This window comes from Homo sapiens, chromosome 9 (genome assembly GCF_000001405.40).
Source record: "Homo sapiens chromosome 9, GRCh38.p14 Primary Assembly".
NCBI classification, from domain to species: domain Eukaryota; kingdom Metazoa; phylum Chordata; class Mammalia; order Primates; family Hominidae; genus Homo; species Homo sapiens.
This window is the reverse complement of record NC_000009.12, coordinates 73,564,977-73,590,966: the sequence shown is the minus strand read 5'-3', so window position 1 is coordinate 73,590,966 and position 25,990 is coordinate 73,564,977. Positions and strand designations below refer to the sequence as shown.

The 25,990-nt window shown below is 33.7% G+C and overlaps 1 long non-coding RNA gene across 1 annotated transcript; it reads right to left on the bottom strand.

Annotated features, from left to right (window-relative positions):
• Positions 1–9,067: 9,067 nt before the first annotated feature.
• On the bottom strand, positions 9,068–17,422 carry LOC105376085 (uncharacterized). The gene is made up of 3 exons (NR_188607.1): positions 17,123–17,422; positions 13,015–13,098; positions 9,068–11,778 (listed from the first exon to the last, which is right to left on the bottom strand). It is a non-coding gene; the product is annotated as an uncharacterized LOC105376085 (long non-coding RNA).
• Positions 17,423–25,990: the final 8,568 nt, after the last annotated feature.

Sequence of the window (25,990 nt, the reverse complement as noted above, 5' to 3'; positions counted from 1 at the left end):
TATGAGGCAAGTAGTACTATGCTTCATGTAGAGTAAGCACTCAATAAATGTAATTATGACTATGGCTGGGTCAAAGGAGAGGATATTAGGCTCCTCCCTAGTGAAGAGAAGTGGTAAAATATAGATGCTGTTATTGAGACGTGAGCATCAAGCACAGGCGGATTCTCTCTACCGCCTTCTTCCTGAGCTTCTACTCCCATTGTCAGTACTTATCAGGCTTTATTTTATTCCTCAGTAAACTCCCAGAGAGACAGGGTACATTGCAAACATTTTTTTCTTATGCTCACCCTTTTCTTGCCTTTCAGTAGGATTTAAAATCAAGTCATCTTCTAGGACAATAACCAGCATATAATGAGAATTATGAGACTTGAATGTTCCCACAGTCATACTCTCATTTTGACTGGATGTCCTCTATTGAGATGTTGGATTGAGAAAAATAGTCTCAATAGGCTTAACATCTGCACAGCCAACTGTTATATCTCTTAATGTATATAAGTCTAAAGTCAGAAGTTATTAAATGAGAGACTTCTTGTTCTTGAGAAATACAGAGCCAAATTCACTGAGATAAAAAAATAATGTGTATGTATTAAATATATTAGTCAGAAAATATGTAAGAGCGAAAGGAATTCACTTATGCCTCTACATTGAATCACATATATTAAAGAACAGCAATATTTTTTATTTCAGGAGACAAACAGCTTCATGTTCAACAAGAAGAAATGCATCTTTCCTCCATAACAATTGCAAAAGAAATTCTGAATGTTATAGAAAACTATTTCCAGCATAGTAATTCATATGAACTCTAGAACCAAAAATCCCAGAATCTTACCTCCACCAGTTACTATGACTGTGTTTAAATTATTCAGCTTCTTTGTTTTTCTACCTACAAAATGGGGACAAAATGGTACTGAGAAACAGAGAAGTGGCATCAGACAGTTAGTAGCTAGCCTGGCACAGAGCTAGGCCTTGTTGTTAAACCTGCCTCACAGTTAGGCTGTGGTGTTCTCCCATTGAACACATAATGTCAGACATCGCCACCATCAGACAGTCGGTCTGTGACTGAGATAAAGTGAAACAACATCAACATTACTTCATGATCAAATCTGAGCAGAGACAAAAATATTGTGATTGCACAAACTACAACCCTCTCCCAGCTAACATGAAAAACATCCGCTTCTTCATCAATTACATCTTAGCCCCTCTTCATTCCTACCACGTTCTACATAAAAATTAATATGTCAAATTGGAGAATTCCCCAGGCTTCCTGGCAATGTCCCATCCAGAGGAAAAGCTTGCTTCCTTGAGTTCTCACTGAAATCACCCAAGACTAAATTCCCTAAGTCCCTTTCAACACCTTCTTACTCCACAGGACTTTTTTTTAACTTGTTGACTTTTTTTAGGTTTTTAGTTTTCTTCACTGTAACGAGTCAATGAGCCCAATTTTTCATGACTTGGGGTGTATTTCTCTTAATCTTTGGCTGCAGGGTGTGGGACTGTTATAAATATTAAATTGATTAATGCATAGTTTGCATTTAAAACAGCATCTGGCTTATAGAAAATTGAAGCCATCATTACTTTCAAACACAGTCAAAATGCCTCATGGAATGTCAGTATTCATATTTAGGTATTTTTATTTTATTTATTTAACAAATCTATTTTTATTCAGCATCTTCTACATTTTAAACCCATTGCTATGTACATGGATATAAAGAAATGATAGTTTTCCTATCTTTAAGTTAAACAGTAGACACCTGTGGATTTCCAAGACTATTTGAACTTTCCAGATAACTCCTTCTTACACACTGTTCTCTGTACTATTGCACACAGATAATTACTCAGCCTCCCTTACCTTCAGACCTCTACAGTTTCACAAGCACAGAGCTCTGTTACATGGTAATCATCATGGATAGTTTGGAGATAATAGGAGAGAATTTCACTGCAAATATAATGTGACCTAAAACTAGATATGAGGGGTCCTTATAACAAAAAATGACCATCATCAGAGAGACTACTAACAGATAAGAGCAATTTTCTAGTTTATATAGCCAATTGAGTATATTCCTGCTCACTGGGTGTAATTATAAACAGAGACTCTTCACTGTCAAGCATATCTTGGTTTGGTTGGTAAATTTTGTAGTTCCCCTGTTTAGTGGCCATCACTATTTTTGATATCTCATCTTAAAGTTGGGGTCCACTCTTCCATCTCTGCTCTCTCTTTTCCATTACAGGCACCATAAATGACATTGAAAGACCAAGCAAGCAATCACTCTTACTCTTTATTATTTAGAACCATTTTATTTCATACTCATCTTAACTGACTTATCCAAAAGATGGGATGGTTGTCCTCCTAGAACAAATATGTTTCAGTGCTTCCTGGAATAGCTGGAATAAATGGCAGCTGGATTCTAATACCACAACAATGTTTTATAAGTTTTATTCAATAATATATTGGTGAATTTTCATCAGTGATATAGTAAGAATATGTATAGCATTACTTTCTTGATAATAATATAGTCCACTATATTACTATAACATAATTTATTAGTACATTAATTTTTACTGTTCCAAAAATATTTTAATGATGGCATTTCTACAAATTTCTTTATATTATTTTCTTTTTTTTGTCATTATTGCTCCAAAAAAAAAAAAAAAAAAAACAACAAAAAACGAGATACCTGTGCTGCAGAACGTGCAGGTTTGTTACATAGATATACATGTTCCATGGTGGTTTACTGCACCTATCGATCCACCTCTAAGTTCCCTCCCATCACTCCCCACTCCCGCAACAGGCCCTGGTGTGTGATGTTTCCCTCTCTGTGTCCATGTGTTCTCAATGTTCAGCTCCCATTTATGGGTGAGAATATGCGGTGTTTGGTTTTCTGTTCCTGTGTTAGTTTGCTGAGGATGATGGCTTCCAGCTTCATCCATGTCCCTGCAAAGGACATGATCTCATTCCTTTTTATGGCGGCATAGTATTCCATGATGTGTATGTACCACATTTTCTTTATCCAGTCTATCATTGATGAGTATTTGGGTTGGTTCCATTTCTTTGCTATTGTAAAAAGTGCTGTAATAAACATATGTGTGAACGTGTCTTTATAGTACAATAATTTATATTCCTTTGGGTATACACCCAGTAGTAAAACGCCTGGGCCAAATGGTATTTCTGGTTCTAGATCCTTGAGGAATTGCCACACTATCTTCCACAATGGTTGAACTAATTTATATTCTGACCAATAGTGTAAAAGTGTTCCTATTTCTCCACAGCTGTGTCAGTATCTTGTTTCCTGACTTTTTAATAATTGTCATTTTGACTGGTGTGAGATGGTATCTCATTGTGGTTTTGATTTGCATTTCTCTGATGAACAGTGATGTTGAGCTCTTTTTCATATGTTTGTTAGCCACGTAAATGTCTTCTTTTGAGAAGTGTCTGTTCATATCCTTTGCCCACTTTTTGATGGGGTTGTTTGTTTTTTTCTTGTAAATACATTTAAGTTCCTTGTACATTCTGGATATTAGACCTTTGTCAGAAGGGTAGATTGCAAAAATTTTCTCTCATTCTGTAGGTTGCCTGTTCACTCTGATAATAGTTTCTTTTGCTGTGCAGAAGCTCTTTGGTTTAATTAGCTCCCATTTGTCAATTTTGGCTTTTGTTGCAACTGTTTTTGGTTTTTTAGTCATGAAGTCTTTGCCCATGCCTATGTCCTGAATGGTTTTCTTCTAGGGTATTTATAGTTTTGGGTTTTACATTATTTTATTGTTACTACTTAAGGAAAATCTCCTAGAAGTGAAATTTGGGGATCAAAGTAAATGCACATTTAAGGCTCCTGATACATATTGCCAAACTGTCCTCCAAAGAGCTCATACAAATTATAGGCCCTCCAGCAGTAAATGTGACTTCCTATCTTGCTTAGATTTAATTGTGACAAATCATTAGTGATATTAATTATAATAATTTTTTAAATGTTTTCCAATAATAGAAAAATTTATTTATTTGCATTTCTGATTGTTAGAAATGTGAACATTGTTTGACAAGTTCATTTATTATGTATTTCTTCTTTGGTGATTTGCCAAATCTTATTATTTGCACCCTTTTATTTCTGTGATTGTTTTGATAATTACTCTTTATATGTAAGAATATTAATACTTTGTTTTATAGAGAGAGCAAACATTTCACAAATTTATATCATTATTATAATTAAATAATGTAAGTATACATTTTTACAATTTTGTAAAGTCAAATACATTTATCATTTTTAGCACAGATTCAGGGAGCTCCAGGTGTGAATTTATTAGATCTTCATATTATCACCTCTCAGCTTCCACGTTCATGGTCAATCGATTAAGGTTAAATTAGATAATGCCTGCAAAGGGTTTGAATTTCAGTGCTTAGAAATTTGTAAAGTCTCAGTCAATAATTACTGAGCTACTTTTTAATAATGCTTCTTCATCAAAGTTATGTATTTATTTAAACTTATCTTTCAATGCTTTAGTGGTTCTTGTTTATATTTTAAGTCTTAATTAGAATAGAATTTGCCTTTTTTATATGGTAAAACATTATTTATGTAAACTTATTTTATTCATAATGCACAGTACTCCAGAATCATTCTTAAGTAAATTATATTTTTCCAAGTTATTTAAAATGTAACTTCATGATAGACTACATACATTTCTCCTTCCCCACACATGCACTTACATGCATGCATAGACACATGCACGAACACAACACACTTTGATCTGCTTTGTATTTTTTGTCCTGTAATAGGAACGTGTCCATTCTGGTTTTAGTGTGATACTTGACACTTTAATGATTTGATCTTGGTGCAACATCTTTAACACTGTAATTTATTTTCAAGAAATTCTTTGCCTTTTAGACAAGTTTATTCTTCAAAACGTATTTTGGAATTATTTCACCAAGGATCAGAATAAATATAACAGCACCTGAATATTTTTATGATAATTCTTTAAAAATAAACTAGTATAATTTTTATTTCAGATTTAAGATTTTCTTCAGATTCTTGTTACCCTAAACAAATTTTTAATATAAGATAGATATTTTAATAGTACATTTTGATGATCTATTAAAAATGTGATTCGTCTGCCACAGTCTTAAAATTTTCAACTGCAGGGTGTGGGACTGTTATAAATATTAAATTGATTAATGATGTCACCTACTGAATAAAGAGTCCCATTTTTTGAAGAACTTAAACTTTCTCCTTAGAGGTGTAAGAGAGAGTAATACATCTCTAAGTAGTAAACACATTAAAACATACACCATAGCAGGATTTTAGAGGTTATTAACTAGTGTCTTTAGAATATTAGTATAAAGCTCTGTTACAAAGCACTGCTTAAAAGAAAACAATGAAAAAGAAGAGCAAAGTTGACTAATTACATTATATGACTAAGACTTGCAATATGGCTCCAATATCAAGACAGTATATACTGGCATAATTATAGACATAGAGATAAATGCATCATGATAGGAAACCAGGTTATACCTATCAATATTTGGGCAATTGTTTTTGGAAAAGGTGTAAATATACTTCAGTGGGGGAAAGATAGTCTTTTCAACAATTGCAAATAATTGAACCTCTATCTATACCTTGAACCATACACAAAAATTAACTTAAAATGAATCGTAGATACAAATTAAGCTAAACCTATAAATTTCTAGAATATAATATAGAAGAAACTCTTTGTGATCTTGGGCTCAGAAAAAATTCTTAGGAAAAAATGCACAAATTATAAAAGAAGAAATGATAAATTGGACTTCATTAGAATTAAAAGCATTTACTCTTCTTAAAGTAACTGTTTTTAAAGGTTTAAACAAGTCACAGACAGGGAGAGAATATTTGCATAACAGAGTTGACACAGTATTTGTTCCTCCAATATATTTTAATAATCTTAGAACTCAGTAGTAAGAAAACAATCAAATTTTCAAAAAGAGCAAAAGATTCGAAAAGACACTTTACCAAAGAAAAAAGACAAGTGACAAACAGGCAACACAAAAAGATGCTCAACATCATTATTGACTGGGGAAATAGAAATTACAATAAAATTTCACTACACAGAGCTTAAAATAGCTCATGAGGATGTAGAGCAACTGGAAATCTCAGACATTGCTTATAGGAATGCAAAAAAAAAGTAGTCCCTTTGGAAAACAGTCTGGTAGTTTCTGCTTAAGTGAAACATACAAACAACAAACATATTTATGACCCACTACGTATTTACCCAGATAAATGAAAATACATGCCCATACAAATATATGTACATGAATGGTTATAGTGACTTTATTCGTTAACTGTTAAAAACTGGACACAACACAAATGTCCGTTAACTAGTGAATGAATAAACAAAGTACTTCCATTCAATGTAATACAACTTATCACTAAAGAGGAATTAACATGCAAAAATGAAGATACATCTTAAAGTAGCATGCCAAGAAAAGAAGTTCACACGAAAGGCCACATACTATGTGATTACAATTTTATGACATTCTAGTAAAGACAAACATATAATGACAGTAATGTCAGTAGCAGCCAGCCAGGTAGGGAAAGTGGATTGACCATCAAGAGTCATGAAAATATTTTTCTGTTGACTGTGGTGGTGGTTACACACTTAGAATATTTGTCAAAACTCATAGAAAATGGTGCCTCCTCATGTATGTAAATTATACCTCAATAAACTTCACCTTTAAAAGAGTAGAGAATGATGCCTTGACTAAAGAAGATGCTGACCTTGTAACTTGGGTGGATTTTTCTAACTTTGAAATCTCGGTGTATCTATCACACTATTGAAAATAATAGTAGCACATACAAAATGCTTGACATACAGCCTCCTTCTGAGTAAGTGTTAGTTATTATAAAAAGGATGTGATGATCATATCCCACTTAGCAAGAGGAGTAAGGAGTGGTAATGAGGTAAGTTAAAGTGCACAAATGTTAACTCTTTTTTAAAGATGAACAGGAAAAACCCATGTACCCCACCACTTTTGAAGCTAAGTCTTATCTTGTCAAATAGATTCAAATAGAAGATTCTCACAGCTTACAGAAGGTAATTTAAAAAGTTTCATTGCCAACACAGGAAAAATATAAACTATAAATATATGTGTGTGTATCATATACAGTTTGTTAATTGAAGTGTGAATGCAGTAGAAAGAGGGTATGAGTAATAGGTGGCTTAAGCCAAATTTAGTTTAGTCATATCCTTGCTCTGCCAATATACCTCAAGCTTAAATGGTATCACTGAAGCTGTTTCAGACTTGAATTGCTCCAAAGCATTATTCTTGTGCCAACTGGGCTGAAATCTGGTGGTAGTTTACTTCTGCAGCCAGATAGGCAGTATCTTTTATGTTTTATTTATTTATAGTATCACTTAAGCCATGCATAACTTTATGTGCACTTATAAAGCTAAACTCACAATTTGTGAAGCAAACTTATGATGGGATGTAAGCAGTTTACAATATGAAACACATTATTGGATAAGAAAAGTTATTAGAGATAGTGTAGTAAATTAAACAGTCAGCCCCACACAAGCTATTTGATTGCCACATGGAACTACTAATGCTAGAGGTCTTAACCAATTTTTATGACTTTTTCATGGACAAATTTGTTTCAAATTTGACTCTGATTCCACAAATTTAGCTCCTCACTGCACCCAAGTAATGATGAGAAAATCCTCTTCTTTTCCTAGAATCTAATAACAGAAAAGAAGTGCTAGTTATCTATTACCCATTCGAGAAACAAATTTGTGGTAAAGACCCAGATTATTTATGACCCCCAAATCTATAGGGATTTTTTGTTTGTTTTTCCATTGCACCTTACCACCTTTCTTTAGAATACTTATCCTATGAAGGAGATGGATAGTCTATGTTTAAAGGGTGGTTATAATCATTTTTTAAATACTCAAGGATTTGAATGTTCAAATGGTAGATTTATAAGTGGTATTTTTATTTACCATTTAACATTTAATGACAATGAATTATGAGCTCAAGTGCCTGTGAAATGTCTGCTTTTGTCCACAGATCATAAAAAACTTGACTTAAGGGATAAGTAATGGTTAGTTTGAAATCTTCTGTTAAGAATAACTGCTCACTGAAAATCAATAAAAAAAATGAACTCACATAGTTTTGAGATTCTGATGCAATCTAACAGAAGTTATTCAATTTATTATAAAATAAGCTATCAATTAATATTTTGAGTGGTTGTAATTATGAAAGCAACACAACCACAGTACAGAGGAAATAGTTACCCATAATTTCATTCCCCTAAGACAACTATTATCGTTTTACAGCCTTTTAAATGTGAATGCAACTTTTGCAAAGTAGTCTCGTACAAAGTAAAACAGACCTGAATTTCTATAAAGCTCCACCTACTATGACCTAATGGCCTCTAACTTTTGACCAGTGAGCTAAGAATGATTTTTATGATGTTAAATACTGAAAATTGAAAATAATAATATTTCATGTCATGTGAAAATAATATGAAATTTAAGTTTCAGTGTGTTATAAATATAACTTTTTGAAATACAGGCATGCTGATCTATACATGTATTGTCTGTGGCTGCTTTTGTGCTACATAGGGCTGAAACTAGGCTAAGGCAATTTAGGTACTCACCTCAGGCACAGAACCTAAGGGTGGGGAGGGGTGCAAAAAGTTCAGTCATGAAGATAAGCCATATTTAATGCAATATGTTAAAAATCAAAATTAATCCACAACAAGTTATAAGCAAAATATCTAGATATTATTAAAGACAGCATAAGTTCTGCAACAGCAGAACTGAGCAGTTGTGGCCAAGAGTGTATCACCTGCAAAACCTAAAATATTAACTATATTTAGTTTACTTGCTAACTCTTACTCTACAGCATTTAGGCCTTAGAGTTATTTTCATATTTCCTCTTAACAGTTTCTACGTTAGCATATAACGTAGATTAGTAAAGTTTTGTTTGACAAAATATTCCTTGCCAAAGACTCTGTCAATCAGAAAATAAATAAAATAAAATGTATGTGGACAATAATATGGCAAGCATGAACTCTTTATTTATTTATTATTATTATTTTTTTTTCTTGAGATGGAGTCTCGCTCTGTCGCCCAGGCTGGAGTACAGTGGCGCCATCTCGGCTCACTGCAACCTCCGACTTCCGGGTTCACCCCATTCTCCTGCCTCAGCCTCCCGAGTAGCTGGGACTACAGGCGCCCACCATCACGCTCGGCTAATTTTTTATATTTTTAGTAGAGACGGGGTTTCACCGTGTTAGCCAGGCTGGTCTCGATCTCCTGACCTGGTGATCCGCCCGCTTCGGCCTTCTAAAGTGCTGAGATTACAGGCGTGAGCCACCGCACCCGGCAGAACTCTTTTTATTCTTACTGTGGTTTTCTTAAAAGAAGGAGGAGAAAAAGGAGGAGCAGGAGGGGAGAAGAAGGAAGTCTTAGGCTGCATGACCTAGAAGACATTCTGTGGGAAGGATTGATTTTATCTAATATGATACCAAATAAGATACAAGCGTGGGAGGCCATAGAGGCTTATAAAGACCATCACTCACCCATATTTACCAAACAATGGTTGTTCTAAAAAAAATTACTTTTCCTTTAATGTTCTGTATTGAGTATTCTCCACCATAATCTCACCCTGAGGAAGTTAAAGATGTGAGGCACCAAGCCTTAGATATTATCTAAATTCTTAACAACAGAGGAATAGACTCTGCCAAGCCTCAGGCTACACTTCTTATTTATTTTCAAGAACTAGTTACCTGATGACAGTTGTTTGGACATTAAACCTAATGCTGACTATTGGAGATACTTCATACCCTGTAATATGCTTAAATATCAGAGGGAACTTTCTAAAAACCTGATTTCTAAAGATTACTTTGGAAATTCTTTCTTGTTTCTCTGAACTCTAATTTTTTCACACATCAGTTTTTATAAATAATTTGCTTCTTATTGCTATTAAGAAGTGGCAAGCTGACAGTTTCTCATATTTGCTCAAAGAAATCTTTGATACCAGTTTGTCAGAAGTCTTTTATTACTGTTGAGAAACTTGAAAAAAAAATTTCCTGGAAAACACACTCAGGATTCCCTGTACCTTGGGAGTCATTCTGCTTTAGGAAGATTCTGTTCTGTAACAAGGATTCATGTGCTTGTTACCAAGGCAAAGTTATGTTTTACCTGCTTTTCTAAAAACAGGAAGATTGCATAATATTTTTTTTCCTGAAATGGAAGTGGTAATTAAGCATGCTATTTTAAAATCGTATTCTAGTTTTGTTAACAAAAATGTTTAATTCTACAGATTTGCAACAAATTAAGGAATGAAAATTTTTGTATTGTCATCGTATTACTATATATAACTGACATTTAGCTGGACGCAGTGGCATGCACCTGTAGTTCCAGCTACTTGGGAGGCTGAGGCAGGAGGATCACTTGAACCCACAAATTCAAGACTGTATCACACTACAATCATGCCTTTAACTAGCCACTGCGCTCCATCCTGGGCAATGTAGTGAGACCCTGTCTCAAAAAAAAATGACGTTTTATTTTTGCCACTATGGTAAACACTGAAGGACTTTACATATATTTGTGATTTTAAATAGTTTATTTACCTATCAGCTGTTCAGAGTGGCAAGCTTTGTAAACATTCTAAATTACATACCGATCAATCAATTCAATTACGTAGTATGGTTAGATCATCTAGTACCTTATAAAACTTTTACCTTTGAGGTGTGTCGCCAGCAATTTCACCTTTACTAAAATAAAATACTTAAGGAATTCTAGAATTTCAATATTATAAAAATTTGATAATATGTCAAGTTTAACATTGTAAAATTACTCAAAGGCATAATATTTACCTTAAGAAATGCATGGCATCTTTGCTATGTAGAGTGATTATTAAGTGCTCAGTGGTTGGCTCAGCATTTTTCTGTGTGTATGCAGTGAATTGCACAGAGTTCTTTTTTGATAAATATTTGCTGAATAAATAAACTCGGTAGATTGAACAAACACTGATAAAGCCATGTTAACACAGGCTATCAATGTGAACCTTGACAGTCTCATTAAGCATTTTAAAACAGTCTTCATTAAAACCTGAGTCTATATTAGAAATGTGTATACGGATAGACATAATTAGGTATAAAAAGTAAGTAATAACTCTGTAAGTAAATTTAGGTTTATGCATAAAAGAATCAGAAGGTTTATTTAAGGCTCTATGTCTAACAGGAAATATAACAATCTCTATCTTTTCCATTTTGATGATAATTTGGATTCAGAGTAACATTTCAAGTGAAATTTCTTAAGGAACATTAAATACCCATTGTATTCAGGGCTATCACTCTGAGCGGATGCTGGTGAAATGTAGGCTTATTCTGTAATATTAGACAGCCGGATGGCTTTCATGTGTAATGTCTTCTCCCTATCATAACCTAAAAGTGGTCCCATAAGCAGTTCTCCAAACCAAAGGACTGACAGACAATTAACATTTTTAAGTAGTTACTAAAAGAACAGAATTAGAAACTTTTGAGAATTTTAAATAGATTTTAAGTCTACTTATACCATTAGGTATACTTTCTCTCAGGTCAGAAATGTGAAAAACACCTGGAAATATCCGAAGAGTTTGTTTCAAAGAATACAAATGGTATGTTGTACAGAAGCACTCGAAATGCTAAATAACGAAAACAAAACACTCATCTGGGCGTCAAGAGATGTGTATTTTTTTCTCAGTAGAGCTAATAACTGGTTGTGTGATCCTGGACAAGTCACTTAATTTGTCTTGGCCCTTCCGTTTTTCACCTGTTAAATGAAAGAAGTCACAGATGCATTTGATTATTGTAAACCCTGAGAGTTTTAGCCCTAATGGATTCTACAGAAAGTCGAATCAAGTCAGGGGAGTATGAAGAAGGCACCTGAGTTCTGTTTGCAAGAGAAGAAGTTGGCCATCAAAAGATGGGGTGCAACAAAGGTGGAGGGTCAATATGACACACATTGTTTCATGCTTCGAGGAATCTCCCTTCTACTGCATAACTCGCCAGCTCAGTTCTTTTGGTTTTTCTGATTCTTATCCACAGGACACTGCAATCACTTACTGGTTGGTGTGTATGTGCTCAGAGTAATCATTTTACATCCAGCGACTTAGAGTGTGGTCCTAGGAAGTGGCAGCATTTCAGCTGCAGAAAGGAAGAGGATCAGTCTGAGCATTCTTGAAGAAGATTGCAAAACTGCTTTTAGTTCATGTAGTGTATTTCTAGTCCAAGACTTCTTTTAATGGGCAAAAAGAGATTTTTTAAAAAAGGAGAAACTTGGATGTTTCCTAAAGCAACATTCAAAGCAATTAAATGGAGCTTTTTAAGCAATGTGCTCTTTTTCACTCTCACAATCTCCTCTTTAGCCTTAAGTAAAAAGCAAAAGAGATCTTTGAAAAATGATGATTTTTTTATATTTAATATATGATCTTTTCATGTTTCTGCTGTTGTGTGCTTTTGAGCTGTCTAACAACTATAGCTATGTAGCCAGCAGAAGGGCAGACTTGTCTTATATCCTGTGAAGAGGTGACTACCTGAAGTGTGAGAATGAAAGAAAAAATAAGAATTCTATGAAAGGTTTTACTACAGAGAATATAGGGCCAAGACCTTCATCTAACCCTGGATACACATTATTCTTAATAATGCATACCGGTATCTTTTTTTTTTTTTGGCCAACTTTAAGTCATGAGCTTACAAAAACTGACAATATTTTACAGAAACAGATTTTTTTTTAAAAAAGCATAATTCTATTTCCTGTATCTTTCACAGTTCTTTAATTTGAAACATATCACTTTTATCTCGTCTTGCTTTAACACCAGATTTGGTTTAATTAAATTTATGTCAAATGAACACATGAAACGAAAGGAAAATCAGAAAGCCTGCAGTTGCCCATTAGTGAGTCAGTGACTGCAGTGAAAGGCTTTTGAAGCCTGGCTTACTGCCAGGACAAGCTTGCAATGATGCTCGGAGACACCCATGATGCTTTGAAGGAAAGGACTTAGCTGACCTGAGCTTGCTCAATGGAATCAGTCAAAATCCTCATGGGCTGGATATAAAATCTATAATAAGTCTTCTGTCTTCAGCCATTTACCTGTCAAAGACAATGAGTAGGGGGTGTGAAATCACAATTCATACAGAAAATTAATTGTGCGAGGGCCATTTATTATTATTATTATTACAGCATTATTGATTATGTGGGTGATTTAGTATGTTTTGAAAGCTACATGCCAAGCCTTTGAAAGGCAGTGCCAAATTGTCAATCCTTGGAGCTACTCCATCAAAACAATATTTAACTTTGGCTCTCTTAGCTGAAATATCTGTCAATTAGTCAAATAATATATGCTATTAGCGAATATAAAAAGCATAACCTCCAGGAGCTAATATTTAGAGCTTTGCAAATTCGTCACTGTTAAACACCTATGTTTAAAAATACATGAAGCCCTAAATGTTTTGACAGTGCTGCTAAAATGCAAAGTAAAATTCCATGTCTCATATTGTTTCTGATACCACGTGGTCTTTGCGTCTTTGTACTTGAACACATTTATACATCCAGCTTTGGCACTTTCATATAAAAATATATTAAATGACTCCATGAATCAAATAATGATGTTTATTCTGATTTTGTATTCAAACAACATGTTCTTAAAGGATATGTACTATTTGGTTTCCTCTTTTTGCTTATTGGGATCTGATCCACAGGTTCAGTTGCATTTTGTATTTTCATACTTTGGACATTAAAGCCTTTACACAAACTTTCAACACTAAAATAAATAACTCATTAGGGAGCAGCAGGGTGCACTGATGTTAGTAAAATAACAATATTTAAAAGCAAGCTTGGTTAGCATCTAGGAATATCAAAGGGACTAGGGAAGGCAAGAGAATGCTTTCAGTAGCTATTTTTTCTTTGTCCTGTTTAAAAATAATTCAAAGAAAGGTCTAAATGTTCCAAAAGTCAAATGGATATTATCAGAGGTGCTTCAACAATCCAGTCATACCAAACATCATCAATGTGCTTGTTCAATTTCTAATTTACCCAGTTCTGCTATTCTCCTACAGGCATACTGTTTTATATTTTCCATCTCTTCTACATGCTTTGCTTTTTTTCCCCATTATTTCATTTATAACTTAAAATAAAAGTAAAACAAACAAACAAAGTAAAAACCCTCTAAGGGTTGCAGTTTTTCCAGGTGAAAAAGATTCCATTCACAGATCCAATGTGTCTTTCTATGTTCTAAGATAAGTGTCTGCACTGGAACACCATGGTAAGAGTTGCCTTCGTTAGAATATAATTTTGAGAAGAGAAATGATTTCTGCCGACAGCTAAATATGAGACATCATTTCTTGGCCAATAGGAAAGTCCTTAATTTTGTGGAATTGATGAAATATGTTTAGCTGGATTCTGCCACTTGCCTCTAGTTAGATATTAGTAGTTTTTTCATTTTCATGAGATCAAATAAGATATGAAAATATTCAGTGTTTGCAAATTCCATAGGATATAGTACAATCCTAGTAATATAAGAAAAAAGATGGGTTTAATTTGCACTCACATTACCTTTGATGAGGTTGAAAATGTAAGTTTATATTTAAATAATGTACTCCTTAAAATCATGCTATCTTTGTTCTCAATATACATTTAACGTAAAATATTTTATAACACCAACCATACTTCTTTAAATGTAAATACTTATAACTAAAAAGGAAGAACTGCATGTTTATGAAGTAGCAATTATTCCACTTTAATTCAAAATTATCAGGGCCATAAATATTTTTCTGTATAAAATTTTGTCAGTTCTTTCAAATATTTTGTCTAGTAAAGTATGAATTAAATTATTTGTTACAAATTGCACATGATCATGATAACTGGGAATAATTTTTAAATGCTCTAAGAGGCTAATAATAAAAGCTTTAAGAAATTGATTATATTTGTCAACATGTGCAATAGTCTTGCTTGCTTTTTATTGTGTTAAGATATTAGATATCTGCTTTACTTTATTCTTGGAGACTTTTTCAAAGGGTTAGAGAAGAAAATAAGCAACCACTCAAAACTATCTTAGAGACTGTGCAGAAATATTTATATTCTCTTGCAAAATATTTGCCAAGTAAGGTCTTTTCCAACCAGAATACGTAATGACCACAGTATTCAGGCAAATTTTTTTCTTTTTTTTCTTCTTTTCTGAATTATTCTAGTAATTGTGTAGCACAGCTTTTCCCCCTGGCACTAAGGACCTAGTCTCTTTATTTCACATTTTAAAACCAAATTGCCAGAAGTGTCTGAAAGGCTGTACTTCAGGAAAAAAAAAAAAAAGAAAAAAAAAAGCACTTCAGGGCCAAGCTTTTGCTAACACACTGAGCATTAAGAGATGAATCAAGGGCGTAACAGAATGCTGAGAGTATCTTTGCACTGGAATCAAAGGCACATCACGAGGAGTCAACATTTTGCCTGAAGTTGCTCGCTCTGACTCTCCCATTGCCTGTAATAAAGTAGCTAAAAGGACATTTGGGACAATCCTGGGCCAAGCAGAGCTGTTTTAGATCCACCTAAAAAATCATAGCCAAAAGAAAAAGTGATTCTGAGAAATATCTCAAGCCAATTCTTTATACCTGTCCATAGAGAAGAAAATGCATGGTAAGGCATGGCCTCACTTACTGGCATTGAGGCTCAATTAGTTGTTCCTGAATAGACTCCAATAACTAGCTACCTGTTGGAGCTCTGCCATCCTTTTGATTCAGTCAGTGTTAGTTTTGGAGTCTCTGTTTCATTAGGATGCAAATTCCTGAGTTGTAGTTTCTGATTTCTTTAGTTACTCAAAGTGGAAATTTTGGGATGAAATGACAAGAGAGAAAGAACAAAATAAGCCTTTAAAAATGATCCATGAATGTGTTTTTTACCCCATGTTGCTGTCAACAGTGAGAATATCCATCGGGAAAGGCTAGCTCAAGGTAAAGATTAATACAGAAGCCCTGCTATTCTGATTTTGTTAATGCCTAGCGAAGTGTCTTCATATCACTTCCGAAGAAAAGAAAATTGCTCACAAATGCCATTTATTCATTTATACGTGTACAATGAAGCAAACAAATCAATAAATGTATATGAAGCAGTTGAAGCATTGAGAAACCAAACTTCATTGCACCAATTTTTTGTTGTATAACTAACTGCATTCCTAATTTCAAACAGGTGCTAAATTTCAAAGACAGTCCCATAATTTCAGGCACTTTTCAACACAGAATTATTTTTAAGAATTAAAAGTAGATAACTCATTTTCATATTATCCCCTAAATAAAATAAATGAATATATAAATATGTTTACTTTCTTAGGTTAAAATGGTGCCATTGAGAACAGATGGTTAGAGGTTAAAAAAAGCATTTTTAATATAATGTTAGAAATATGATTATTCCTCATATAAAATGCAAAATATCTAAATGGAACAAAGATCTTATTTATGCAACTGAAGCTTAAAACTCAAATGAAAGCATTTTTATTCAACTTGAAGATAGTATTTTTTTTCATGACTGCAGTCATGCACAGGAGATCCCATGTCACTTTTTGATTTTTAGAACAATATCTTGTTTTGTCTGTTGTCAACATTGGTATGAAAAATGCTTGTAGTCATATTTTATAAATCACACAGGGTTCATCTTCAAGTTCTGTCATTACAAATCTCCCAATTCTAACAATATCATTACAAAATATTAAAATGTTCACAGCAAAGGGACACAAAAGTTTGAAAGTTCCAGTCAAACTGATTATACAAAATGATAACACTAAGGTTGTCCCAACATAAAAGCTGACAAGTCAAAAGCAGGGATAATGTGCATTTTCACTAACAAATAATAAAGGTTCTGTGCATCAGGACAGCCATATTCTCATGATCAGAGCCATTACTGGAAGAAAGAGCTTTGATAAAGACTGCTAATTTTGCACAGAGGCAAATTTGAAAGAAACAGTAAGAGGGAATGTGCCCAATGCACCTCTAAAATATTAATTAATACACCTCTGGAAAGATGAGCCCTTATGTTCCAGTTACAAAGACAGGGTGCATTCATGAACTTAGTTCAACATTCACCCTGCATAGCGATGGGGTGCGAAAAGGAAGGCAGCAATGAAGTCACTTACAGTTTGCAATTCAGCTGTCATGTGGAAGTCTGCAGTAGGTATGAGCAAAATATACTGTGAAGAATATGTGGCTCAATATTATACAGCAAAATCGAACTTTGCAACTGCTTATGCATAGTTAACTACCTGGGACTAGCCTGCTCTGGTGCACCACTTTATAGATCAATAAAAAATTAAACTAAAAATACAGACTCCTAGGTAACCGTGGTCACAGTACAACTCTATCTTCCTTTGCAGGCTTATTATTTCCTGAAGCTGTGGCTGACAGGTTCTATGAGCACACATTTTTGCATATATTTTGTTTATGTGCAAGCCTTGGCATTTCAGCCATCTCCTGCTGGGGCCCCTTCCAACCATATGCTTCTGTTTTTCTTCATTAGGTGATGTGATCCCTTTTGACTGTTGCATGCACGTGAAAGGACAGTGGGCTTTGGGGGGAGAAGAAACCCTGCTTTAAGAGAGTACACGTCAGTTGGCCTTCAGCTGTTTGGAGCTGATTCGATCTGACAAGTGTTGAAGCTACTCATCGTAATGGATGTCTCTGCTTTAGCAGAGAGGAGGTGAAAAGGATGTAATTCCCAGTGAAAGAAAGCAACATGAACTATTATTTAATTACTGCTTAATATATAACTCACTAGGAGTCCCTGTTGATTTACAGTTCTAGCTTCTTCTTTTCTTTATTAATGGAACAATCTAGTCTTTTAATGCGATGTGATTGAGCCACACCTGTTATTGATAGGGACTTTCCCAAATGAACAAGGCAAATAATCCATTTTAATACCCAAGCATGTATGATTCTGAAATGCTTAATTTTTTCACATATAGAAGTTACTCTTTTCACCCCACAAAAACAAACAAACAAACAAACAAACAACAACAACAACAGCCACAAAAGAAAACCTTGAGCTAGTATTGCCCAGACTTATTTCTTTCACTGGTTTAGGATATGGTGTGCATATTTCTGAATACTCTGGACACCAACCTTTTTAACTCTCTGGATTCTAAAAATCAATTAGAACCCTCCACTCTCTCCTTCCCACTTCAGTTTTCACACCAATAGGATGCTGAGTTAAATAGACGTAGTTTCATTTTGTTTTTTGATCGGATGCAATTTCTGGATGTGCTGACGCTGATTTTTGTCAGCAATCGACCTTCTACACAGAATTTGTTGTCCTACTGGGGAAATGCAACTTTAAAATCTGAAATGCAAGTCTATTATTCATTTCCAAATTATAGTACTTTTTAGAATCATTTCTAAAGTATTGTTTTCATTCCTTTCTTTTATTGGGAAAACAGTCAAGGCAAAAAAGTGATTGGGTTTTGGGTTTGGGTTTAATTCTACTCACATAGTATATTAAAGTTGCATGCTCACTGAAAATATTTAAGTAGAAGGGTTCTGTCCACATATTAAATATATAGCAATAAGATTATTTAATTTTTTATTCCCTTCAATATATAATATGTAACAATTATATTGGTAATGTTTCTTGTATTTTCTTTTTTTTGGCTACAGCTTATATTTTCCTTACCCAACTTTGCTGAAGGATTATTCTTAACATATAGTATCTATAACATATAGTAGTTTATATCATTCATGCAAATTTTTCAACAAACATATCACAGATAAACACATATCATCCTTTAGAAAACATGTTATATTTGTGCCAAAATCTGAGATAGAGAAGAAAACACTCTGTATTATATAGTCCGTATGTTTAGTTTAATCATTTTTAGCTTATATCATTTTTAAAGTACCCTTATTTTGCTATATCCACATGTAGGCTGATAAAACTTTGAAACCTGTGGCTTTCTTTTAAAGGTAGCCAATTCACTAATTTGGATATTATCAGAAAACAGTTCGTATGATAATGCTAGACTGTCTAAATTTTTTATACTTTACATTTTTGTTTTCCTGAGACATTATCACATCCAGCTGATTTAGGTATATATAAAATAGAAACAAATACCTCACAAATGACAACAACATAATTTTATTTTAAAAGTTTTCACTTATGTTTTTCCAAAGCTAAATCCTGACCTCTTCCACACATTTTAATGTTTTCCCTTGCAGTCATGTAGGGAAATACATTTTTATCCAATGACCCTCATTAATGTAGACCTTTGATTTGTATGGACGGAGGTTTTATTTTCCATTTGTGAGTATGGAGGCTGTTGCCTGTTTGCTTTGGAATATTTTATTACTTTGGAACAGAATGCAAGTGTATAATTTTGTGAATGATCTCTTTCTTTAGTTTACTTGTGTAAATATAGATCAAATATTGGTAATCTTGGAGAAGGAAAGGCTATTTACGTGGCAGTTTCTAAAATGAAATAGTAGCTATGCCAAGTTGAACAATTTGAGCTTTTATGCCAATTAAACAGTTTGACTCCTGATATAAAACTTGATGATTTGAAACCAAATGTTAAAAATAGGGAGTAGAATTCACCATATATTGTGAAGATAAAATTTATTTTTAAGTTTGCAAAACAATATTTTTTTTGGAACTAATATTACTATGTCTAAATTTTTCCAGATAACATACAAATGTTTTCTTTCTTGTGTGGTTTCTCAAGAAAAAATAATTTAATTAAAAATTTAATTCTAGCATTTTGAATGTAAGATGAATCAAGCTTCATATAATTCCCAATGTTATTGCATTCTTACTTTTTTCTCTGTTCTTTACATAATTTTTTCTTCAGAGAGAAAGCAAAAATAAATAAATAAGAAAAGTGACCATTTTATGTCTTATTTGACAAAAAGTCATCTTCATTCATAATGAGAAACTCCAGTATTTCATTCTGTAATGCAGCATAGAGCAAAAACTGCTGATGAAATTCAAAGAGTAAACTCCCTCAATAATTGAGTTATAACAAAAGAGTTTTGAAAGGGTAGGTGGGTCTTTTTTCCCCCCAAGATAAGTATCTTACTGTTAATTAATCTGGTTGGGGGATTATGAGATAGAATAATTTAAAATACTACATTTGCTATACAACTGATCATCTTCTACTTTAAGGATTTTTTTCATGATTTATGGGATTTTACAGGTTTAAAAGAGAATTGAATAAAAAAAAGTTTCTGTGTGGATGAATATAAACTACCTAAATCATACACCTTTGCTGATGCAGAAGAAATTTCAGTGCTTAGGTCTGGAGGTAAGAAATTTCCCTCAGATGATCAGAAACATTAATATCCCTTTTGCCTCTACTTTTTTTTAATGAAAGACACACATACACACACACACACATACAAACACATACACACACACACACACATACACACACACACACACCCCAGGTTACTGCAGCTGCATAACAGGCTCCTGTTGGCCCTGAGGACAAATCCTGGATAGTTTTAATAACTAAAACAATTCTAATAAGAAAATTATTACAGAAGGGCATCAAAATCCCTTATAAGGTAAAATGTTTAAAAAGTGTTTCTTGTCTCATACTCCTAGCCAACAATAAAATAACCAACACTTAAAATTTAAGGGAAGCAGAAAACACTTGAACTAGACTTTGTGTCTAAAGAGAAAATTTTATCCACAGAGCTCATAACAGATTTTGAGTTGTTTTTACTCAAATCAGAAAAAACACTTGCCATTACCTTCATGTTTTCAAAGCAAGTTCAAACTTCTCATGACTACTGCATAAACGATATAAAAGTTTTACCTGAATCAAATATATAACACTTGTCTAATTACAAAGAATCTTCATGAAACCCATAAAAAGTGTCCTTCTATCATTTCTGCAAAGAGATTTGTAGATGAGAATTTTGTACCACACAGATATTCGATGAACATTTACAAGAATAAAATTATATTTTTCATACATGTATCAAACGGATTATTGGTAGCGGTTAAAATAAAATCTTAGGTCTCCAACTTTATATTCCTATTTGATAAGTATTATAATTTTTATTAAAATAAATTTTTAGGTCTTCTAATTCCTATTTTAATTTGATCTAATATCCGGAAAGAATACTGCTGCCCAGAAATTCGTCTAGCAGCAGCAGTTTTCTCCAGTTATACACGAATTGAATATCCATGGTAGAGGAACAGTGGTTAGTTTAAGAGGAGACACCTCACCCCAAAATATAGGTACTTTGCAAATTAACAATTCAAGTTCTATCTCCTTGTTTTTCAGAGAGCAGTGCTCACCATACATGGCTCTATAAGCTGTTTGCACTAAAGACTCAATCCCAAATCTAAAGGAAAACCGTGGAGGTTTACAAACTACTTTTCTTAATCATCAAAAGTACAGGGGTGGTATTCTTGCTTCATTTGTGGGTCCACTCCAACTCCAAACAGATCTGAAACCATTACAATGCATGGCAGTTGGTCGATAGTGTGGAAAAACCTCATTTACTGACTGGCCAGACAGTTTTAAAACCTTCAGATTTTTCTAAGTCTAGGTTATTAACTGTCTGACTGTAATCACATCTTCACCATAGGGAGCTTCAAAAGCTTTTCATTTGCATTGAATCAGTTGCCTTCCTCCCTGTCTTTTTTCCCCCTGGAAATAAGCTTAAATAATTCAACAAACTACACACATGGCTAGTGATTATTGAACCATTCTGAAACACTCGAGGCAAATGGGCCATTATGTGGTGGGAATTAAAACTTTCCTTCCAGTTACCGGGAGGGTACATATTCATATATAGCACATATATTTATCTGAAGCATTTCTTCGGTACTCTCCATTCGCCCAAAACCATGTGGAAAAATACCTACAACTGTACCATAACTCTTATTTGCCAGTGCTGTTTTTGGAGGTTATTAGGTCAGATAAAATGCCTTTTGGTGTGCATATATATTCAACACTTCTTTCCCCAAGTGTGGAGACTAAGTTACTTTAAAAGAAAATACAGTACTTTTCATAGACATACTACAGCTGAATAAAAACAAAGAAATTACATTCATTTAGTCACTCATTTTCATACTTGGATCATAACAGGATTAAACATATTTGGCCACTTGACTTGATGTAGCCTTCACTACAAACATTTATATTTGGTAAGGACTGTGTGTAAAAGTGGTTATGGATATTTTACATTTACAGACACACAAATTTTTGAATTCTCCAAAATCTGAAAGAATGTTTTGTCATTTGTATTGCCATCTGTTTTTGTAGATTTCATGATTGAAGATAAAACCCCCAAGCAATGTCAGAAATTACAATTTTATGCTAGATTTTAACAATAACAAAAAAATACAAATTAAAAAAATGAATATCTTTATTGTCATAGTGCTTTTGTTTCTCTGAGCAGACAGCAATAAAAAAATCTAAGAATAAGGGGCAGAAAAAACAAATATTTTACGAGAACAATAAATTTTCAATAGGAGATTGAATAATTGCCACTGGCTGCAGAGTGGAAAATTTAATAAGAATAGGTATTTTTTTCTTTAAACATTGACTTTGAAGTCTTAAAAATGAATAGTATTACATTGCAGAAGGCTATGTAATATTATTATTATTAAATATTTTTATTAAAACACCAGCTATTAGATATTGTGTGTGCCCTGACACTCATCAAAGTTAAGAATTTGGCTGCTAACAATTTCATAGTAATACATCTTTTGTGATTAGAGAGACAGATATAATTTCCATTTTTGTTTTATACTTTAGTAGTTATATAGCTCCGTAGCTGAGTTCTAACAGTGTACAACCTTTGTCAAATATATTTTTCTACATTATGACCTATAGAAAACATATATGTAAATGAATTCAAAAACCTTGTGTTCAATTAACATACCATATATACTATGTGGAATTAAACTGGTCTCTACTATTGATGCAAATAAATAAATAAAAATGTTTCCACTGATTGAAAAAAATAAAAGATTTTTGGGGAATGAGTATTTTATTGCTGATCTTATTTAGAATTGCCAGCTCCTGGTGATAATGAAAAGTAAATCAACTTAAAAAAAATGCATATGGATTTGACAGAAAAGAGTCGTGTGTGTAATGAGTGATCAGTGACAATACGTGTTGTTTCAGTTTATGTATCTTTGATCTTCTGTATACCATTTTTCTAATTCTTTACCACAGAATGGATCCTGGCTCATAACCAGCTCTTACTATTTCCTGTTGAATGCACCTACTTGCTTTATTGTTCCTAGGTAGATATTACCATCAAAAGCAGTCACAGAGCCCAGTGTGGTGGCTTTTGTTTGTAATTCCAGGATTTTGGGAGGCCAAGGTAAACGGATCACTTGAGGCCAAAAGTTCGAGACCACCTTAGGCAACATAGTGAAAACCTGTCTCTACTAAAAATATAAAAATTTGCCAGGTATGCTGGTGCATGCCTATAATCCTAGCTACTCAAGAGGCTGAGGCAGGAGATCACTTGAACCCAGGAGGTGGAGGTTGCAGTGAGCCGAGATAGTGACACTGCACTCCAGCCTGGGTGACAGAGTGAGATTCTGTCTCAAAAAAGTAAAATAAAATAGAAAAAAAAAGGAAAAGAAAAATCAGTCAGAGCCATCCAGAATTTTATTTTAATATGTGTTTTTATGATACGTTTATTTTAATATAGGTTTTGTTGATTATATTGTTATTCTATGTGTCTTTGCTGCTATTTCCCTGTGTTTGCTAATTACTACTGACAATTGCTCCCACAGCTTGGACGTCTTAACTACTCTTACATTATTATAGTCATCCAAGGCAGAGGTTCACCCCCTTCTTTGAGGGTGTGGGTAAGAAGTAGGTTATTGGCTGCTTTGAGAATCTAATTTCAATTATGTATCCTCTTCTTCATAAATATATATGCCCAAAACATTTTACTTAGAAACTTCAGGGTTCACAGACCCAGTGAAATCTATCTACAATTAATGGAACTCAGATTAAGAGCACTTAACCTAAAGAGGGTTATACACCTTATTGCACTGATTTTTAATACAAATAGTGCAGTTCTTGCCTTACTCTGTTGGACAAAATAAGAGGTGTGCAAACTATGGTCCTCAAGTCATGTCATGCTGCCATCTATTTTTATAAATAAAGTTTTATTGAGACACAATCCTGCCTGTCCATTTATATATTATCTCTGGCTGTTTTTGTGCTACAACTGCATCGTTAGTAGCTGCAACAAAGACCATATGCCCAAAGCCTGCAATAATTATTATGTGGCCTTTTACAGAAAGCAGCTTGCCACCCACTGGCCTAAATGTGTGGTATAAATATAGAGAATAGTTCACATTCTTCAAGAAGCTAAAACTGTAAGTTTAACATGAACTAATATAACCAAGTATCTACAAAACAAGTTATTGTTATTTTATACAAATAAAAAACTAAGAATAATAGTATGATGGTACCTGTGTACAAGGGACCTCCAAAGGACATTAGACTATTTTGGATATCACATTTTAATAGAGTTATTAACATATTGGTGCTTTCTTTTGTTTTGTTTTCCTGTAAGACTAACATGATGAAAATACACAAAACAATATGTTTAGAAAAAACAGTTGAACAAGGATGTTTATTTTAACATGGAAAAGAAGAGATAGGAAGGTAGTGGAGGAGGTAGAGGGAAATAATCTAAAATATTTTAGTAATTTTTGTGAAAGGTGGAGTTTAATGTATGTTACCCCAGAGGCAGTGATATGTTGGTAAACTAATTTTTTGAAGTAAAAAATCCTGATTTGTGGTATTTGCTGATTTTTGTAGTGTAAATGTTTCCACTGCAGTTAATTTCAGGCTACCAATGTGAAGCCATTGAATGTAGAGCTGAGAAGAGATACACACAATTGCCTTTCAAACCCATCAAGCCCAGCTCCAGCACACCACTGCAGCCAGAGGGCAGAAGTGACACATGCAGCTTGAAACTCTCTCTAGAGAAAAAACATGGTTTACTGTAAGAAACCTTATGATTTAAACTGATTTCCTCAGACTGTGGTAAATTCCTTTTCTGAGAACATGTTTACCAGAAGCTGTGTATGCACTTGATGAGTACACTAAGTAACTAAATGGAAAGTAAGAAGAAAGTTTTATTTTAATCTCATGCAATGGTTTATGATTCTATGATGTTTAAATATGAGTTAAGACATGTAAACTAAACATAGTAAATAACTAGAGATGACATCTTTTACTTGTTTTCCTGTGGCTTCTTGAGGGAAGGCATCTCAGAAAACCTCCCCAGATGTATGTAAGACATTGTGTGCGAGTGCCTAAACACATCATTGATATGTAGAAGAAATAACTTCCTTAAATGACTGAAGATAAAAGTGGCTTAAGGTCAATTTCCTCTCATAATTCTCATTTTATGAAATGAAAAACCAACACATTTGACAACATCTATTTCTTACCAAGTTGAAATAATAAAAGTGAGAGCAGGTCTAGGCTACCTCTCTTGGTTGTCTACCCAACAGTCAATTCCTACACTTACAGAACTGCAATTGTATCGGAGCAGTCTTCTATGTTAGGAGGATCTGGACCTCTGTACAACCTTCGGGGAAAATGTTAGTAGCAATCTCCTTGATAAAGAGTATTTTAAAAGTATGTACGTAATATTATTCAAGCCAATGGGCAATGGGGAAAACATGCTCTTTGTGTTCTGGGAGAAGAACAAAGAGGCATTCTCTTTTCAGGCGTTCATGCACCAAACTATAAGATTCTTTGGGCTGATCCAGTCATACTGTGGTTATGAAGGTTAAGACAAGAGCCAACATTCCTAGGGCGGCAGAGAATAAATATTTTAAAAAACAATGCTGAATGGTGCTGTTGAATCACTGGTTTAACCATCCCTGGAACCATGATGCTTCTGAACTTCTTTTATGTAAAGACAAACTGAAGGTAACATTAATATTTTTATAAACAAACAAAACTTGAGAGAATTCATTAACAACAGACCTGCATTACAAAAAAATATTGAAG